The sequence below is a fragment of the Homo sapiens genome, chromosome 1 (assembly GCF_000001405.40).
Source record: "Homo sapiens chromosome 1, GRCh38.p14 Primary Assembly".
NCBI lineage: Eukaryota > Metazoa > Chordata > Mammalia > Primates > Hominidae > Homo > Homo sapiens.
The window spans coordinates 156,753,176-156,768,910 of record NC_000001.11 but is presented as its reverse complement, the minus strand read 5'-3'; the positions used below and the strand labels follow the sequence as shown (position 1 = coordinate 156,768,910).

The 15,735-nt window shown below is 48.4% G+C and overlaps 2 protein-coding genes across 3 annotated transcripts in view, besides 9 other annotated features; one reads left to right on the top strand and one right to left on the bottom strand.

Moving 5' to 3' along the window:
• Window positions 1-1,376, bottom strand: part of PRCC (proline rich mitotic checkpoint control factor) — a 33,281-nt gene extending 31,905 nt beyond the window's left edge. Inside the window, exon 1 of the mRNA NM_005973.5 lies at window positions 672-1,376. Coding sequence (NP_005964.3) covers window positions 672-1,139 — 468 coding nt within the window. The 5' untranslated portion in view covers window positions 1,140-1,376. The remainder of the gene's footprint in view (window positions 1-671) is intronic.
• Window positions 1,010-1,609: an enhancer, noted in NCBI's record as "active region_1881". NCBI's record gives its function as "activates an Ori minimal core promoter by ATAC-STARR-seq in GM12878 lymphoblastoid cells {active_cell/tissue: GM12878}" and the evidence as "EXISTENCE:reporter gene assay evidence [ECO:0000049][PMID:35858748]".
• Window positions 1,010-1,989: a biological region, named in NCBI's record as "OCT4-NANOG-H3K27ac hESC enhancer GRCh37_chr1:156736727-156737352".
• Window positions 1,351-1,976: an enhancer, noted in NCBI's record as "OCT4-NANOG-H3K27ac hESC enhancer chr1:156736727-156737352 (GRCh37/hg19 assembly coordinates)". NCBI's record gives its function as "activates a minimal SCP1, AML or CMV promoter by ChIP-STARR-seq in primed H9 embryonic stem cells {active_cell/tissue: H9 hESC(primed)}" and the evidence as "EXISTENCE:reporter gene assay evidence [ECO:0000049][PMID:30033119]".
• HDGF (heparin binding growth factor) overlaps window positions 1,545-15,735 on the top strand; it is a 25,260-nt gene continuing 11,069 nt past the window's right edge. Inside the window, exons 1-3 of one of the 2 annotated variants that reach the window (XM_047418832.1) lie at window positions 1,545-1,572; window positions 9,692-9,928; window positions 13,247-13,374. The gene's annotated coding sequence lies outside the window, so the exon portion shown is untranslated. Of the gene's footprint in view, window positions 1,573-2,041; window positions 2,122-9,691; window positions 9,929-13,246; window positions 13,375-15,735 lie in introns of those variants that run through there. The other variant, XM_047418831.1, reaches the window with a different exon arrangement.
• Window positions 1,710-1,899: an enhancer, noted in NCBI's record as "active region_1880". NCBI's record gives its function as "activates an Ori minimal core promoter by ATAC-STARR-seq in GM12878 lymphoblastoid cells {active_cell/tissue: GM12878}" and the evidence as "EXISTENCE:reporter gene assay evidence [ECO:0000049][PMID:35858748]".
• Window positions 1,940-1,989: an enhancer, noted in NCBI's record as "active region_1879". NCBI's record gives its function as "activates an Ori minimal core promoter by ATAC-STARR-seq in GM12878 lymphoblastoid cells {active_cell/tissue: GM12878}" and the evidence as "EXISTENCE:reporter gene assay evidence [ECO:0000049][PMID:35858748]".
• Window positions 1,977-2,603: an enhancer, noted in NCBI's record as "H3K27ac hESC enhancer chr1:156736100-156736726 (GRCh37/hg19 assembly coordinates)". NCBI's record gives its function as "activates a minimal SCP1, AML or CMV promoter by ChIP-STARR-seq in primed H9 embryonic stem cells {active_cell/tissue: H9 hESC(primed)}" and the evidence as "EXISTENCE:reporter gene assay evidence [ECO:0000049][PMID:30033119]".
• Window positions 7,980-8,512: an enhancer, noted in NCBI's record as "H3K27ac-H3K4me1 hESC enhancer chr1:156730191-156730723 (GRCh37/hg19 assembly coordinates)". NCBI's record gives its function as "activates a minimal SCP1, AML or CMV promoter by ChIP-STARR-seq in naive H9 embryonic stem cells {active_cell/tissue: H9 hESC(naive)}" and the evidence as "EXISTENCE:reporter gene assay evidence [ECO:0000049][PMID:30033119]".
• Window positions 8,060-8,354: a silencer, noted in NCBI's record as "tiled region #4951; K562 Repressive DNase matched - State 8:EnhW". NCBI's record gives its function as "represses a minimal TATA promoter and a strong SV40 promoter by Sharpr-MPRA in K562 cells {active_cell/tissue: K562}" and the evidence as "EXISTENCE:reporter gene assay evidence [ECO:0000049][PMID:27701403]".
• Window positions 8,513-9,046: an enhancer, noted in NCBI's record as "H3K27ac-H3K4me1 hESC enhancer chr1:156729657-156730190 (GRCh37/hg19 assembly coordinates)". NCBI's record gives its function as "activates a minimal SCP1, AML or CMV promoter by ChIP-STARR-seq in naive H9 embryonic stem cells {active_cell/tissue: H9 hESC(naive)}" and the evidence as "EXISTENCE:reporter gene assay evidence [ECO:0000049][PMID:30033119]".

The window sequence follows — 15,735 nt, the reverse complement described above, 5'->3', positions numbered from 1 at the left end:
AGACTGAACCTTAATCTTAATCTTCACTCTGCCCTGTTACCAGGTAAAATCGTGCATGCTGGACACCTGTTTCTCATCTGTAAAACAATAGTATGTTACCTCCCAGAGCTCTGTAATAATTGAAAGAAAGGACCAATGAACGGCAAATGATCTGCACTAAACAAATATTCGATTTCTCCTCTAACTCCCCTCAAAAATAGAAACCAAGATTGCTATCATTTTCCTCCAGGCCTGATGCTTTTGAGTTCAGAGGCAAGGAAAAGATTTGTCCCAGATGTTCGGCAAAGGTTCAGGAGCCCTGTCTCCTGTCATTCTTCAGGTGCCAGATTTCATCCTGTTCTCAGTAGGAGGAAAGGGGAAAAAGCCGGACTGAAGTGAAGATGCAAAGAAGGGGGAGCGGATCCAAGTGTCCCTAGGCCTGTCAGTACCAGGTGATGATGACATGTGGCCTTCTGCAGGCAAGCCCAGCTTCAGGAAACCCACATGGGCAAACACCCAAACTCCCCCAAGTTGACCAACTTCAGCTCAATTAATCGCATTATAAGAGGATTCCAGTGGCCTTGAATCCACGGATGCGTTTGTAGGAAGGAGTTCTGAAATCTCCACATGTCCCTCCTACAGCCGACTCAAACCCGATGGACAGTTTGGGGGTGCCTTCCCCGGATACTCACATCTCCCTTATGCAACTCCGGCGCCGCGATCTTCACGGGCTCTTTCCTCTTCTTTGGCTTGGGAAGCCCCAGCGGGGGACCGGCACCGCCAATTGGAGGGGGCAGATTGAGGCCAGGGCCTCGGGGCGAGGGCAACCCCAATCCCAGTCCCTCCCCAACTCCCGCCGCTTCAGCCGGGCTCACGCCTGGAGGTGGGGGGAAGCCTCCCAGGCCGAAGGGCAAGGGGGGAGGAGGCTGAAGCCTGGGGTCTCCGGTGGGTGGGGGAAGCAACAGCGGCGGGGGAAAGGCTGGCGCCAGCATCTGAGGGGGCGGAGGCAGCAAGGCCGGACCCTTGGGCGCAGGGAGAGAAGCGAACAAGCCCCCTAAAGCGGGCCCAGATGTAGGAGCCACCGCCTCCTCTTCCTCCGGCTCGGGCTCAGCCTCATCCGGCTCGCTCTCATCGCTGCTGGCGTAAGCAACCAGCGACATGGCGCCTCCCGCGTTTCGGGCGCCCTTGCCGGCAGATGAGGCCTACTTGAGACCGGGGATGCCCGGAGGCCTAGTAGGCCCCGCCACCTGGCGGGGCGGGGAACCGAAAAGTCCGCCTGCTCCGTACTCTAGGGCTAGCCCCGGCAGAAACTCATGGCTACGGCTGATTTCCACCGAACAAGGCGTACCTCTTCACTTAAGCTCCTAGTCCCGGGCAACTACACACAGCTAATGGCCGCCGAGTCACTCCGCCTCCTCCTTGCCTCACCAATACAGGAACTACAACTTCCAGAGAACACTTTGGACACAGCCCGGTTCTTTGCCGCAGGGATCTCAGCGCAAGGCACGGCGGGAGTTGGAGTCCGAGGAAGGATTTAGGGGCGAGCAAAGGGAGACAGGAGAGAAACCCGCCTCTGACGCAGGGACACCTGGGGTGAGTAGTTTTTTTCGTCGCCTAACAATTCCGAGGTGACTACAAGCCCCACCGGTCACCACGGCAGTCACTGAGACGGACAGGAGAGCATTTCGGTACTTGAAGTTCCCTAGGGTAGCCCCTTGGCCACTAAGATTTCTGGGAGATATGATGCTCTTAGAAACTGCAAGTGATGTCGGGAACGAAAGGGAGTCTGGGAAGCTGGCGGATTGAGGAAAATTGCTTAAAGGCAAAGTGATCTGTAAATGAACTGGTGAAGCTTCCCAGTCGGCTGGGACTGGGAATTAGAATAAAACATCCCAAAAAGAGCAAGGGCCCAAGGGACCCGTACGAAATTGGGCTGCAAGCCAGAAAGAAGCGAGGCTGCAGGTCTAATAATAAGCATCTAAGAGTTGAAATAAATGTGACGTAAAAGGGAGGAGGTGATCTCCCTCACCAGGATCGGGGTGCACATCCAGGAACACACCTTACCCTGGAGCCTGGGGCCTGGCCTCCCTCTGCAGCAACCAGTGAGACAAAGATGGGCAAGGCTCTGACAATCCGGGCCAGGTACTTGAGGTTAATCCCTTCTCAGCTCAGTGGGGTAAAGGGCGACCGTTCTGAGGAATCACTTGAGTCCGTCCTACCTGGCTGTGCCTCCCACCTATCCATTTGCAGATGTCCTTTACATTCCTTTACGTCTGTGAGTGCTGCTTCTTATGGCTTTGTATGTGACTTTCTTACATCTGTCTCTGTAAGTGCCCTTCCTTTCCATCCATGTTTATAGGAGTCCTTGTCCAGCCCATTTATGTCTGCTTGTGATGATCTGCTGTGCGCCAGTCCTTCCCTGTCCGCTTGTGATTTTGTATCCTTTTCTTGTTTACCCATCTCTGCCCCCTTCCTGTCTGCCTGTGACTGAGTGCCCTCTACTTGTCTGCCCTGTATGTGTGTGTCCTTTACATGCTAATTCATCTCTGTGTGGGCACCACCTCCCTGTTCCCAGATTGCAGAAAATTCTGTTGAGCGAAGCCAGAGAAAAGGCTGTTGAGGTTTTGGGAGGAGGCTGAAGAGAAAATTGGAAAGGTTGATGAGGAGGGACAATGATGACCACAATGCAGAGAGACAGTGAAAGGCCCAAGCTTGAATCCTCTATCAGACGAGCCTGATATGGGGCACCTCCTCCCCAACCTCTCCACCCTTCAGAGACAAACTCCATGCTGCCTTCTCCATGAAGGCTCCTTAGAGCAATCTGTGCTCAAACTTTAATGTGCATAAGCATCACTAGGAAAGCTTCTGAAAAATATAAATTCCTGAAATCTAGCCTAAGAGATTCCTATTCAATAGATGTGGGTTGGGCCTGGAAGCCTGGATCTGTAAGAAACTACTCAGTTAGTTGCAAACCAGGCACTGAGGACCACATTGAGAAACTAGACCATCAAGTCCTACCTCACAGCTAGTATGCCTTGCACAATGTTGATTTCTAAAATCTGCTTTCAAATCTAGGTTCCCCAACGTACTCTCTGGTGACTGTGCGGTCACTTCTCTTCTCTGAGTCTCACTTTCCTCCTTTGAAAAATGGATAAAGTAGGCCGGGTGTGGTGGCTCACGCTTGTAATCCCAGCACTTTGAGAGGCAGAGGCTGGTGAATCACGAGGTCAGGAGTTTGAGACCAGCCTGGCCAAGATGGTGAAACCCCGTCTCTACTAAAAATACAAAAATTAGCATGGTGTGGTGGCGGGCGCCTGTAAGCTCAGCTACTCGTGAGGCTGAGGCAGGAGAATCGTTTGAACCCGGGAGGCAGAGGTTGCAGTAAGCCGAGATCACGCCACTGCATTCCAGCCCAGGCAAGTGTGCAAGACTCCATCTCAAAAAAAAAAAAAAAAAAAAGAAAGAAAGAAAGAAGGAAAGAAGGAAAGAAAGGAAAGAAAGAAAGAGAAAGAAAGAAAGAAAGAAAAATGGATAAAGAAGGTCGGGTGCGGTGGCTCACGCCTATAATCCAAGCATTTTGGGAGGCCGAGGCGGGCAGATCACCTGAGATTGGGACTTCGAGACCAGCCTGACCAACATGGAGAAACCCCGTCTCTACTAAAAATATAAAAATTAGCCGGGTGCGGTGGCGGGCGCCTGTAATCCCAGCTACTCAGGGGGCTGAGGCAGGAGAATCGCTTGAACCCGGGAGGCGGAGGTTGTGGTGAGCCAAGATCACGCCATTGCACTCCAGCCTGGGCAACAAGAGTGAAACTCCGTCTCAAAAAAAAAAAAAAGGGCGGGGGGGGCGCGGATAAAGTATTACAGAGCCCTGTCCTACTTCTGTGAGAAATGCCTGATACTAACACACAGTGAAATGCCTTAGAACTAAGAGAAATGATTGTCCTTGTTGTTTGTCAACACATCTTGCCAGCTTGCAGAGAAGCCCCTAAAGGACAGGGACCTGTCTCAAATGTTTTCTTTCTTCTTCTTTTTTTTTTTTTTTGGAGATAGAGTCTTGTACTGTCGCCCATGCTGGAGTGCAGTGGCGCAAATTTGGCTCACCGCAACCTCCACCTCCCAGCTTCAAGTGATTCTTGTGCCTCAGCCTCCCGAGTAGCTGGGATTACAGGTGTGCACCGCCATGCCCAGCTAATTTTTGTATTTTTTAGTAGAGACGGGGTTTCACCATGTTGGCCAGACTGTGTTTAACAAATGTTTTCTAAGCGAGGATCCCCTTACTGTGAAAATTAATGATTCACCTTATTGGGTATAAATCCTCAAAAAGTGTTTTCAAGCAAGAAATTGATAATAGAAACTTCATGAAAGTGAAGGAAAGGGGATTTATTTCTCATTATGTACCCTTTTATACCTGTAGAAATTTGTAACTGGGCAAGGCCAGGCGCAGTGGCTCACGCCTGTAATCCCAGCACTTTGGGAGGCTGAGGCGGGCGGATCCCCTGAGGTCAGGAGTTCCAGACCAGCCTGCCCAACATGGAGAAACCCTGTCTCTACTAAAAATACAAAAAGCAGCTACTCAGGAGGCTGAGGCAGGAGAATCGCTTGAACCCGGGAGGTGGAGGTTTCAGTGAGCAGAGATCATGCCACTGCACTCCAGCCTGGGTGACAAGAGCAAAACTCCATCTCAAAAGAAAAGAAAAAAAAAGAAATTTTTAACTATGTACGGTGGCTCACGCCTGTAATCCCAGCACTTAAGGAGGCCAAGGTAGGAGAAGCCCTTGAGTCTAAGAGTTGGAGACCAGGCGTGGTGAAACCTTGTCTCTACAAAAACAAACAAACAAACAAACAAAAACAGAAAAAAAGCCGGGCATGGGCATGGTGGCACACACCTGTAGTCCCACCTCATTGGGAAGGGCTGAAAGAGGAGGATCGCTTGAGCCTGCGAGGTTGAGGCTGCAGTGAGCTGAGATCGCACCACTGCACTCCAGCCTGGGTGACAGAGCATGACCCTGTCTCAGTAAAAATTTTAAAGAATAGAAATTTAGGCCAGGCGCGGTAGCTCATGCCTGTAATCCTAACACTTTGGGAGGCCAAGGCAGGTGGATTGCCTGAGCTCAGGAGTTCGAGACCAGCCTGGGCAACACGGTGAAACCCCGTCTCTACTAAAAATACAAAAAAGTTAGCTGGGCGTGGTGGCGTGCACCTGTAGTCCCAGCTACTCGGGAGGCTAAGGCAGGAGAATTGCTTGAATGCGGGAGGCAGAGGCTGCAGTCAGCCAAGATCGCGCCACTGCACTCCAGCCTGGGCAACAGAGCAAGACTCCGTCTCAAAAAAAAAAAAAAAGAAATTTGTAACTGGTACATCTATGAGCCTTTCGAAAGTAATCATAATAAAAGTTTTCCAGTAAAACAGAATGAGGGCCGGACATGGTGGCTCACACCTCTAATCCCAGCACTTTGGGAGGCTGAGGCGGGTGGATCCCAAGGTCAAGAGATCGAGGCCAGCCTGGCCAACATGATGAAACCCTGTCTCTACTAAAAATACAAAAATTAGCTGGGCGCGGTGGCACACACCTGTAGTCCCAGCTACTCAGGAGGCTTCTGAAGCAGGAGAATCACTTGAATGCAGGAGGCAGAGGTTGCAGTGAGCTGAGATCGCGCCACTGCAGTCCAGCCTGGCAACAGAGAGAGACTCCATCTCAAACAAAAAAAAAAAAGAGAGAGAATGAAATGATTAAACATATTTGTTTCCCTCCTAAAACCCTACTGAAACATCAGTAAAGAGATTTTTTTGTAAAGGCATTAAAGATCATTTTGAAAAAACTTAAACCCACAATGATGGAGAGTTCGGAAGAGAAGACAACACAGTAACAACATTTTGGAAGGTGGAAAAGAGATGCACCATAGGTAATTGGCTGGGCACATCTAAGAGAGCTGAGAACCAAGGTGGCCTTGAGGAATGCTGAGAATCAATGTTTAGAGTCTGATACCAGGGATTCCCCCTACAAACTCCCAACCAGATCACCCTGATGGAAAGTTTTTTTTTGGTTTTTTTTTTTTGAGACGGAGTTTCGCTCTTGTTGCCCAGGCTGGAGTGCAATGGCGCGATCTCGGCTCACCACAACCTCCGCCTCCCGGGTTCAAGCAATTCTCCTGCCTCAGCCTCCCGAGTAGCTGGGATTACAGGCATGTGCCACCACACCTGGCTAATTTTTTGTATTTTTAGTAGAGATGGAGTTTCTCCATGTTGGTCAGGCTGGTCTCGAACTCCTGACCTCAGGTGATCCGACTACCTCAGCCTCCCAAAGTGCTGGGATTACAGGCATGAGCCACCGCGCCTGGCCATGATGTAAAGTTTTTAGTATGACAAGCCCCAACCAGGTACCCAGAGGTACAAAGTGGCTTTTCTAGCCCACTGCTCTTATACATGAGCAGGAACCAAGGGTTAGATATTGAGGAGAGACTCTAATAAGAGTAATAGAGATAAAACAAACAGGCCACTCTGCCCAGCTAAATTTTTTTATTTTTAGTAGAGACAAGGTCTCGCTAAAGAGGCTACCAGCCTCTTGACAAGGCTCATCTTGATCTCCTGAGGTCAAGCAATCCTCCTGTCTCAGCCTCCCAAAGTGCTCGGATTACAGGATTATAGGCATGAGCCACCATGCTCGGCCTGTTTTTTTTTTTTTCCTTATATGAAACTGTTGTTCATGTTGTTTGTTTTCCTATTGTTTATCCTTTTATTGATTTGCAAGAGTTTTTTTCAGTGTCTTGATATAATTTTTTTTTCCCTTAATTCAAGATCTCACTCTGTCATCCAGGCTGGAGTGCAGTGGTGCTATCTGGGCTCACTGCAGCCTCGACCTCCCCAGCTCAAGCAATCCTCCCACCTCAGCCTCAGGAGTAGCTGGGACCTTACAGGCACATTGCCACCACGCCCGGCTAATTTTTGTATTTTTTGTGTTTTTTTTTTAATTAATTAATTTTTTTTTTTTTGAGATGGAGACTGTTGCCAGGCTGGAGTGCAGTGGCGCAATTTCGTCTCACTGCAACCTCCACCTCCCAGGTTCAAGTGATTCTCCTGCCTCAGCCTCCCGAGTAGCTGGGACTATAGGCGCATGCCACCACGCCCGGCTAATTTTTGTATTTTTAGTAGAGACAGGGGTTTCACCATGTTGGCCAGGATGGTCTCGATCTCTTGACCTCAAGATCCGCCCGCCTCAGCCTCCCAAAGTGCTGGGATTACAGGCGTGAGCCACCATGCCCGGCCTTTTTTAATTTATTTATTTTTATGGTTTTTTTTTTGTTTTTTGTTTTGTTTTGTTTTGAGACAGAGTCTCACTCTGTCGCCAAGGCTGGAGTGCAGTGGCACTGTGTCGGCTCACTGCAACCTCTGTCTCCTGGGTTCAAGCAATTCTCCTGCCTCAGCCTCCCAAGTAGCTGGGATTACAGGCGTCCACCACCACGCCGGGCTAGTTTTTATATTTTTAGTAGAGATGGGGTTTTACCATGTTGGCCAGACTGGTCTTGAACTCCTGACCTCAGATGATCCGCTGGCCTCAGCCTCCCAAAGTGCTGGGATTACAGGCGTGAGCTACTGCGCCCGGCCTTATTTTTTATTTTTTGGAGACAGAGTCTCACTTTGTTGCCCAGTCTGGAGTACAGTGGCACAATCTCAGCTCACTGCAACCTCCACCTCCTATGTTCAAGCAATTCTGCCTCAGCCTCTCAAGTAGCTGGGATTACAGGCACGCTCCACCACGCCCAGCTAATTTTTGTATTTTTAGTAGAGACAGGGGTTCACCAAGTTAGCCAGGCTGGTCTCGAACCCGTGACCTCAGCTGATCCCCCCCAACCTCCACTTCCCAATGTGCTGGGATTACAGGCGTGATCCCTGCCTGTATTTTTTTTGTAGAAACATTTTTGCCATGTAGCCCAGGTCTTGAACTCCTGAGCTCAAGCAATCTGCCTGCCTCAGCCGCTCAAAGTGCTGAGATTACAGGCATGCGCCACTGCACCTGGCCTCTTGATATAATCTTATTTTGGTTTCCACGTATACTTTGAATTTCAAAGATACAGAAAAAAAAAAAAAGGCTGGGGGAGAAAAAGCAAGGAGAGGGCAGGGAAGGATAAAATTTGGAGAAAAATAAAAGCTTACAAACTGGAATGATGAAGTCAGAGCAGGATCAGGGTGTGTCAGGGTGACTGACAGGCCCCAGGGCTGAAGAGCCAACAACTCATGGATGAGCCTCTTTATCGTCCTGGCCAGCCACCTGTCATTGTCATCTTCAGTACTCCTCCCATCCCCCAACACTCATCCAGGGCCTGGCACACACCTAACAATGCCCAAGGAATATATGTGAGAGTGAATAAATGAATGACCGGGTAAATGAGTGAAGCCCTGAGCCCATAGGCAATGTGGTGGCAGAAACAGCCTTTCAGTCCCCACCCTGCCATCTGTCCTCTACAGAACCACAGCGTCCGCCAGCCTAGCCAGAGCTGCTGCCCAGCATGTGGGGAGGCTACCTCTACCCTGAGAGGCAGGGCTCAATCTAATTATTAGTCGAGAAAAGAGGACTTGGCCCCCCCTCACCCACACGCCTCCCTGAGTCCTCTCCTCCCCAGGCCTCTGTCCCCAGTGTCTCACCAGCAACATCCTTGCAGGAAAGGGCTGAAGAGTGTGGCCAGGCATGCTCAGAGCCATGGCAAATCTGTTGGCCTGACTCTGGCCCCACATTACATTACTTTAATCTCCAGGGACCAAAGGAATGCAGACACACCTGGGGGCTGTGGCTGTACAGAATGGTGGGCTTCTCATCTAACCTATGGCACTCCTGTCTGTAGGCAGCAAAGTTACTTCCAGTACTGCTTGTCAGCAAACTCCTGCAAACAATACTGCTATGAATGGCCTTTTATCTTTTTCACTTTGCAAAGTGGAAAGAAAAATGGTGAGAGATCCTCACTCCTGAATAAGATGAAATGTGTCCAGTATTATTTACTATTGCATTATTTGTGTTATCAAAAGGAACAACCTAAATGCCCATCAACAGGGGACTGATTAAATAATTTGTAATAGTTCTAGTCCTGGGATGCAAGTAAACTAACAATTTATGACACAGAAACATTGTAAACTATTACCATTAAAATGAATGGGGTGACTGGGCACGGTGGCTCATGCCTGTAATCCCAGCAATTTGGGAGAGTGAGGTGGGCGGATCACAAGGTCAGGAGTTTGAGACCAGCCTGACCAACAAGGTGAAACCCCATCTCTACTAAAAATACAAAAATGAGCCGGGCATGGTGGCGTGCGCCTGTAATTCCAGCTACTCAGGAGGCTGAGACAGGAGAATCACTTGAACCTGGGAGGCGGAGGTTGCAGTGAGCGGAAAACGCGCCACTGCACTCCAGCCTGGGTGACAGAGTGAGACTCCATCTCAAAAAAAAAAAAAAAAAAAAGAATGGGGTATGAGATGGATCTTCATGTACAAATATGGAGTCTCAAAATATATTGCTGAGTAAAAAAGAGCAAAGTGTATACGGTGTGTCACAATTTGTGTAAAGGAAATAGTTATCTCTGCATTTGCTTGAAAATTAGAAAGAATGTTACTGGAAGAATACCCACAATATTTCTGCCTCTAAGGAGAAAACTGGGTTGGAAGGGAGAGGGGTAACATGGAGATGACTTTTTGGTAAATCACTCCTTTTACCTCCTAAAGTTTGCATCATTGGCATGTACTACCTACACAAAACGTTAAACCAGATTTTAAAGATGGTGGTCTGGAACTCATGAAGATCTTCAGGTGCTTTGACCTCTTCCTGCCCTACTAAGGTTGAAGATCTCTCCTTTGAGGTCCAAGGAGCCATTCATTGTCACCATAATTCTTGGAAAGAGCTGAAAAAAGAACCCAGGAATACAACTCCCCAGGAGCCTCCACAGTCCCTTCCCCATGCAGGTACACACGTCACTCAGCCAGGACCGCTGCTGTCCTCTCTCTCCTGGCTTAGCAACTTCAGGCCCTTCCACCTCTGCACTGCTGCCAGATAAAGCTTCTAGAAGTTCACCTCTGCTTCATGTCTTTCTCCTGGACAAATCCTTTTATGGCAATTAAATCTAACTCTAGGGGGTGTCTGACTCAGGCATTTTTGTTGTTGTTGTTGAGATGGGAGTCTTGCTCTGTCGCCCAGGCTGGAGTGCAGTGGCGCGATCTCAGCTCACTGCAACCTCTGCTTCCTGGGTTCAAGTAATTCTCCTGCCTCAGCCTCCTGAGTAGCTGGGATTACAGGCACCCACCACCACACCCGGCTAATTTTTTTTATTTATTTATTTATTTATTTTTTTTTTTGAGACGGAGTCTCGCTCTGTCACCCAGGCTGGAGTGCAGTGGCGCGATCTCAGCTCACTGCAAGCTCCGCCTCCTGGGTTCACGCCATTCTCCTGCCTCAGCCTGCCAAGTAGCTGGGACTACAGGTGCCCGCCACCATGCCCAGTGAATGTTTTTTGTATTTTTAGTACAGATGGAGTTTCACCGTGTTAGCCAGGATGGTCTCGATCTCCTGACCTCATGATCCACCTGCCTCAGCCTCCCAGAGTGCTGGAATTACAGGCGTGAGCCACCGCGCCTGGCCTATTTATTTTTTGAGATGGAGTCTCACTTTGTCGCCCAGGCTGGAGTGCAGTGGCGCAATCTCGGCTCACTGCAACCTCTGCTTCCTGGGTTCAAGTGATTCTCCTTTCTCAGCCTTCTGACTAGCTAGGATTACAGATGTGCGCCACCACGCCCAGCTAATTTTTGAATTTTTAGTAGAGATGGGGTTTCACCATGTTGGTCAGGCTGGTCTCGAACTCCTGACCTCAGATGATCCACCCACCTCAGCCTCCCAAAGTGCTGGGATAACAGGCGTGAGCCACCGCACCCAGCCATATCTTTTCATTCTTCAAGTGACTCCAATGTGCAGCTCCAGTCAACAGCCACTGCCCTGGAACAAAGGTGTCCAATAGAACTTACTGCAGTGATGGAAATGTTCTGTATTTACACCATACTAGCCATATGAGGCCACTGAACACTTGCAATGTGGCCAGTACAACTAAGAAACTGAATATTTAACTGGATTTAATTTTAGTCAAATTGAACTTTTTTTTTTTTTTTTTGAGACAGAGTCTTGCTCCCAGGCTGGAGTGCAGTGTCATGATCTTGGCTCGTTGCAACCTCTGCCTCCCAGGCTCAAGTGATTATCGGGCCTCAGCCTCCGAAGTATCTGGGACTACAGTTGTGCTCAACCACACCCAGCTAATTTTTGTATTTTTAGTAGACGTGGGGTTTCACCATGTTGGCCAGGCTGGTCTTGAACTCCTGGCCTCAAGTGATCCACCCGCTTTGGCTTCCCAAAGTGCTGGGATTACAGGTGTGAGCCACCACACCCGGCCTTTAATTTAAATTTATTTATTTTATTTTATTTATATATATTTTTTGAGACGGAGTCTTGCCCTGTCGCCCAGGCTGGAGTGCAGTGGCGTGATCTCGGCTCACTGCAACCTCCGCCTCCCGGGTTCAAGCGATTCTCCTGCCCCAGCCTCCCGAGTAGCTAGGATTACAGGCATGCGCCTCCATGCCCAGCTAATTTTTGCATTTTTTTTAGTAGAGACGGGGTTTCACCATGTTGGTCAGGCTGGTCTTCAACTTCTGACCTCATGATCGCCTACCTCGGCCTCCCAAAGTGCTGGGATTACAGGCGTGAGCCACCACATCCGGCCTTAATTTAAATTTAAATGTCCACATGTGTTGGCCAGTAGAGACTTAGAGAATAACTCTTATAATTTTCCCTTTTTCAAAAAAACAGAACCAAGCTGGGCACGGTGGCTCATGCCTATAATCCCAGCACTTTGGGAGGCTGAGGGAGGTGGATCACCTGAGGTCAGGAGTTCGAGACCAGCCTGGCCAACATGGCAAAACTCTGTCTCTACTAAAAATACAAAAATTAAATGGGCGTGGTGGCGTACAACTGTAATCCCAGCTACTCAGGAGGCCGTGGTGGGAGAATCACTTAAACCCAGGAGGTGGAGGTTGCAGTGAGCTGAGATTGCGCCACTGCACTCACCTGGGCAACAGAGTGAGACTCTATCTCAAAAAAAAAAAAAAAAAAAGACCACCTTTTTAAAAAAATAACTTTTTAATTGTGTTGTATCTATATACAGAGGAGTTAGAAAACATAGGCATTTTAAAGAAAAATAGCTAATACTACAATACTAACAGCTAATAGCTAACAGATGGTAACTAATAGTACCTACCATGTGCCAGGCACTGCTCCAAGCATTTTACATATATCATATATATTAACTGGTTTATCAACATTCCCCCTTTACAGATAAGAAAACTGAGAAACAGAAAGGTTGAGTAACTTGCTGCAGGTCACACAGTTGGCAAATGGTATAGCTGGGATTCAAACCTAAGTAAGCTGACTCCCAACTCCATCCTAAACACCCTCACCCACTGTGGTATTGCCAGCTTTGTCAGGGCATAATGCCAGTACCTCAGAAGCTTACTGCGAAGGAATCCATTTTTTTCAAACCAAATATTACACAAAATCTAATATAACAATAAATACAGTGATAACCAATTTTATTAAGCACTTATTATGTCCCAGGCTCTGTGCAAAGAACTTTATTTATTTATTTATTTATTTATTGAGACCTAGTCTCACTCTGTCGTCCAGGCTGGAGTGCAGTGGCATGATCTCAGCTCACTGCAATCTCCACCTCCTGGGTTCAGGCGATTCTCCCACCTCAGCCTTCTGAGTAGCTGGGATTACAGGGGCCCGCCACCACACCCAGCTAATTTTTGTATTTTTTAGTAGAGATGGGGTTTCCCCATGTTGGCTAGGCTGGTCTCGAACTCCTGACTTCAAGTGATCTGCCCACCTTGGCCTCCCAAAAAGCTGGGATTACAAGCGTGAGCCACCTCGCCCTGGCCTAAAGAACTTCAGTGCATTCATTCATTCAATCATAATCACAACCCCGTTTTCTGGACATGAAACTGAGGCTCAGGGTAGTTAAGTGTCTTTCCTAAAGTTACACACAAAGTGTCCATGGTGGTGGCAGGACTCAGACTGTTATCTCTACAGCCCATATTCTCAACCACTCTGACTCCACACAGAATGCACAAAGGCAGGGCTGCTCTTTTATTTTGGGTGGCGTGGGTGGAAGTAGGCAATGGAGGCACAGTTGTCAAAGCCACTGGTCTAATCTAACTATTCTTCTCTCTTCCACTTTACAGAGGGTGTAACTTGGGCCAAGAAATCGTGATGTGAGTAGGTCACACAGTGTTGAGGGCCAAAACCCTCGACTCCGTTGGGAGTTAAAGGGGAGGAAGTGGACATTTCCTTTGAACCTAATAATAAGCAGGTGAGGTTTTGTATTCTCATTTTTCACAGTGCAAGAAAATTTTGTTTAGAAATTCTAGTTAAGTCATTTACCCAAAGCCCTAAAGCCAGTAAACAGCAAGTGGGAATCAAACCCAAGTCCCTTGACATGCCAAACCAGCTTCTTTCCACTAGACCACCCCTTCCCCCATTACTGTAAACTCCATCTCTCCGCTGCTGTCAGCTCCTTCTTGATCCGTACAGAAATAAAAGTTTGCCACCATTTTGCCTGACCTCCTCCAGAGACTCGCTTCAGGATCCTAGAGCCAGATCTGCACCCCACAACCTTATCTGCTTTGGGGTCCCAAGTCCCTCAACTTCTGTCCTGACCTCCTTCCCCACATAAATGTAGAAGTGCGCACCAGCATCAACAGAATCATTTCACTGAGACGTTTGTGAATTGGTTTCCACCTGGGCTGGTGGGTTGAGGTCTTGTGAGTCGTGTTGTTTTAGACCCTTACTACTGAAATGATGGTTCTAAGCAGCAGCAACAGCACCTTGGAGCGCATTAGAAATGCACACACTCCGAACCTCCTGAATTAGAATCTACTTTTTGTTTTGTTTTGTTTTTGAGACGGAGGTTCACTCTTGTTGCCCAGGCTGGAGTGCAATGGTGCGATCTCAGCTCACTGCAACCTCCACCTCCTGGGTTCAAGTGATTTTCCTGCCTCAGCCTCCCAAGTAGCTGGGATTACAGGCGCCTGCCACACACCCAGTTAATTTTTATTTTGTATTTTTAGTAGAGACGGGGTTTTACCATGTTGGCCAGGCTGGTCTTGAACTCCTGACCTCAGGTGATCCACCTGCCTCGGCCTCCCGAAGTGCTGGGATTACAGGCGTGAGCCACCATGCCCGGCCTAGAATCTACACTCTTTTAAAAAGGGATTCCCAGGTGATTTGATTGCACGTTAACGTCTGCAAAGCACTAGGTTAGATGTGAATCCCAGGGGAAGCAGGCTTATGCCCGCCTGTGTAACTGACCTTCTGCAGCTCTTGGCTTAGTTGTTAGGGGCAGCTGCGAGTTGGTTGATGACGTTACTGTAAGGAGCACTTGAATATTAAATTGCAACCAACGCCTAGGAGATTACTGCAACAAAAGGAACCCTGGTTGTATTATTGCAACCAGCATCTGCATGGTAGACTGAATGAGAGGCCCAAGAGATTTTGTTGCAACAAGAATTTAGAAGCCCATTTCCACTTCCACGCTGGCTATTATGATGCAACAAAGTGGAGAAATGGGAAGGGCTCTTGCTTTTTACTAAATTGAGTGTACCAAATTGGAAAATAGTTTAAAAGCGTGTTTGTTGGCCGGGCGCGGTTGCTCACGCCTATAATCCCAGCACTTTGGGAGGCCAAGGCAGGTGGATGACAAGGTCAGGAGTTCGAGACCAGCCTGACTAACATGGTGAAACCCCGTCTCTACTAAAAATACAAAAATTAGCCTGGCGTGGTGACGCGTGCCTGTAATCCCAGCTACTCAGGAGGCTGGGGCAGGAGAATCGCTTGATCCTGGGAGGCGGAGGTTGCAGTGAGCCGAGATTGCACCATTGCACTGTAGCCCGGGGAACAGAGCGAGACTCCGTCTCCAAAAAACAAAACAACAATTAAACAAACAAACAAAAAACCATGTTTGTTGCACTGAAACTGTGCATGTTTATAATAACGACCTAGGCCGGACACGGTGGCTCACGCCTGTAACCCCAGCACTTTGGAGGGCCCAAAGTGGGCAGATTACGACATCAGGAGTTCGAAACCAGGCTGACCAACATGGTGAAACCCCGTCTCTACTAAAAATACAAAAATTAGCCGGGCGTGGTGGCACACACCTGTAATCCCAGCTACTCAGGAGGCTGAGGCAGGAGAATCGCTTGAACCCGGGAGGCAGAGGTTGCAGTGAGCCGAGATTGGCCACTGCACTCCAGCCTGGGCAACAGAGCGAGATTCTGTCTCAGATAGATAGATAGAATAAAATATGACCTAGATAGTTAAAGGAAACCTGTTCTGATGCTGGAGACTTATTCTTGAAACATCTTCAAGAACTTGTGACAAGACTCTCTCCTAACAAAAAGATTTAGCCTGATAGAATCTGGACTATTACACTGACTGCATTTCAAAATGGAATGCATTGTAGAGTAAACACCAACTAGAACCTAGTTGCTCTGTTGCAACAAGTTTGAATTTGCTATGGAAACAAATTGACAAGCTTGTGGCTGAGGGCCTGCTTGGCTGTTTTCTTGCAACAGGACCTTCCAGAATGCCCCCCTGTGCCAGCAGCCTGGTGTGCCTCTTATCACAAGGGGAACTATGGTTGAGAGGCCACACTGTTATAAAGGCAAAAATAGTG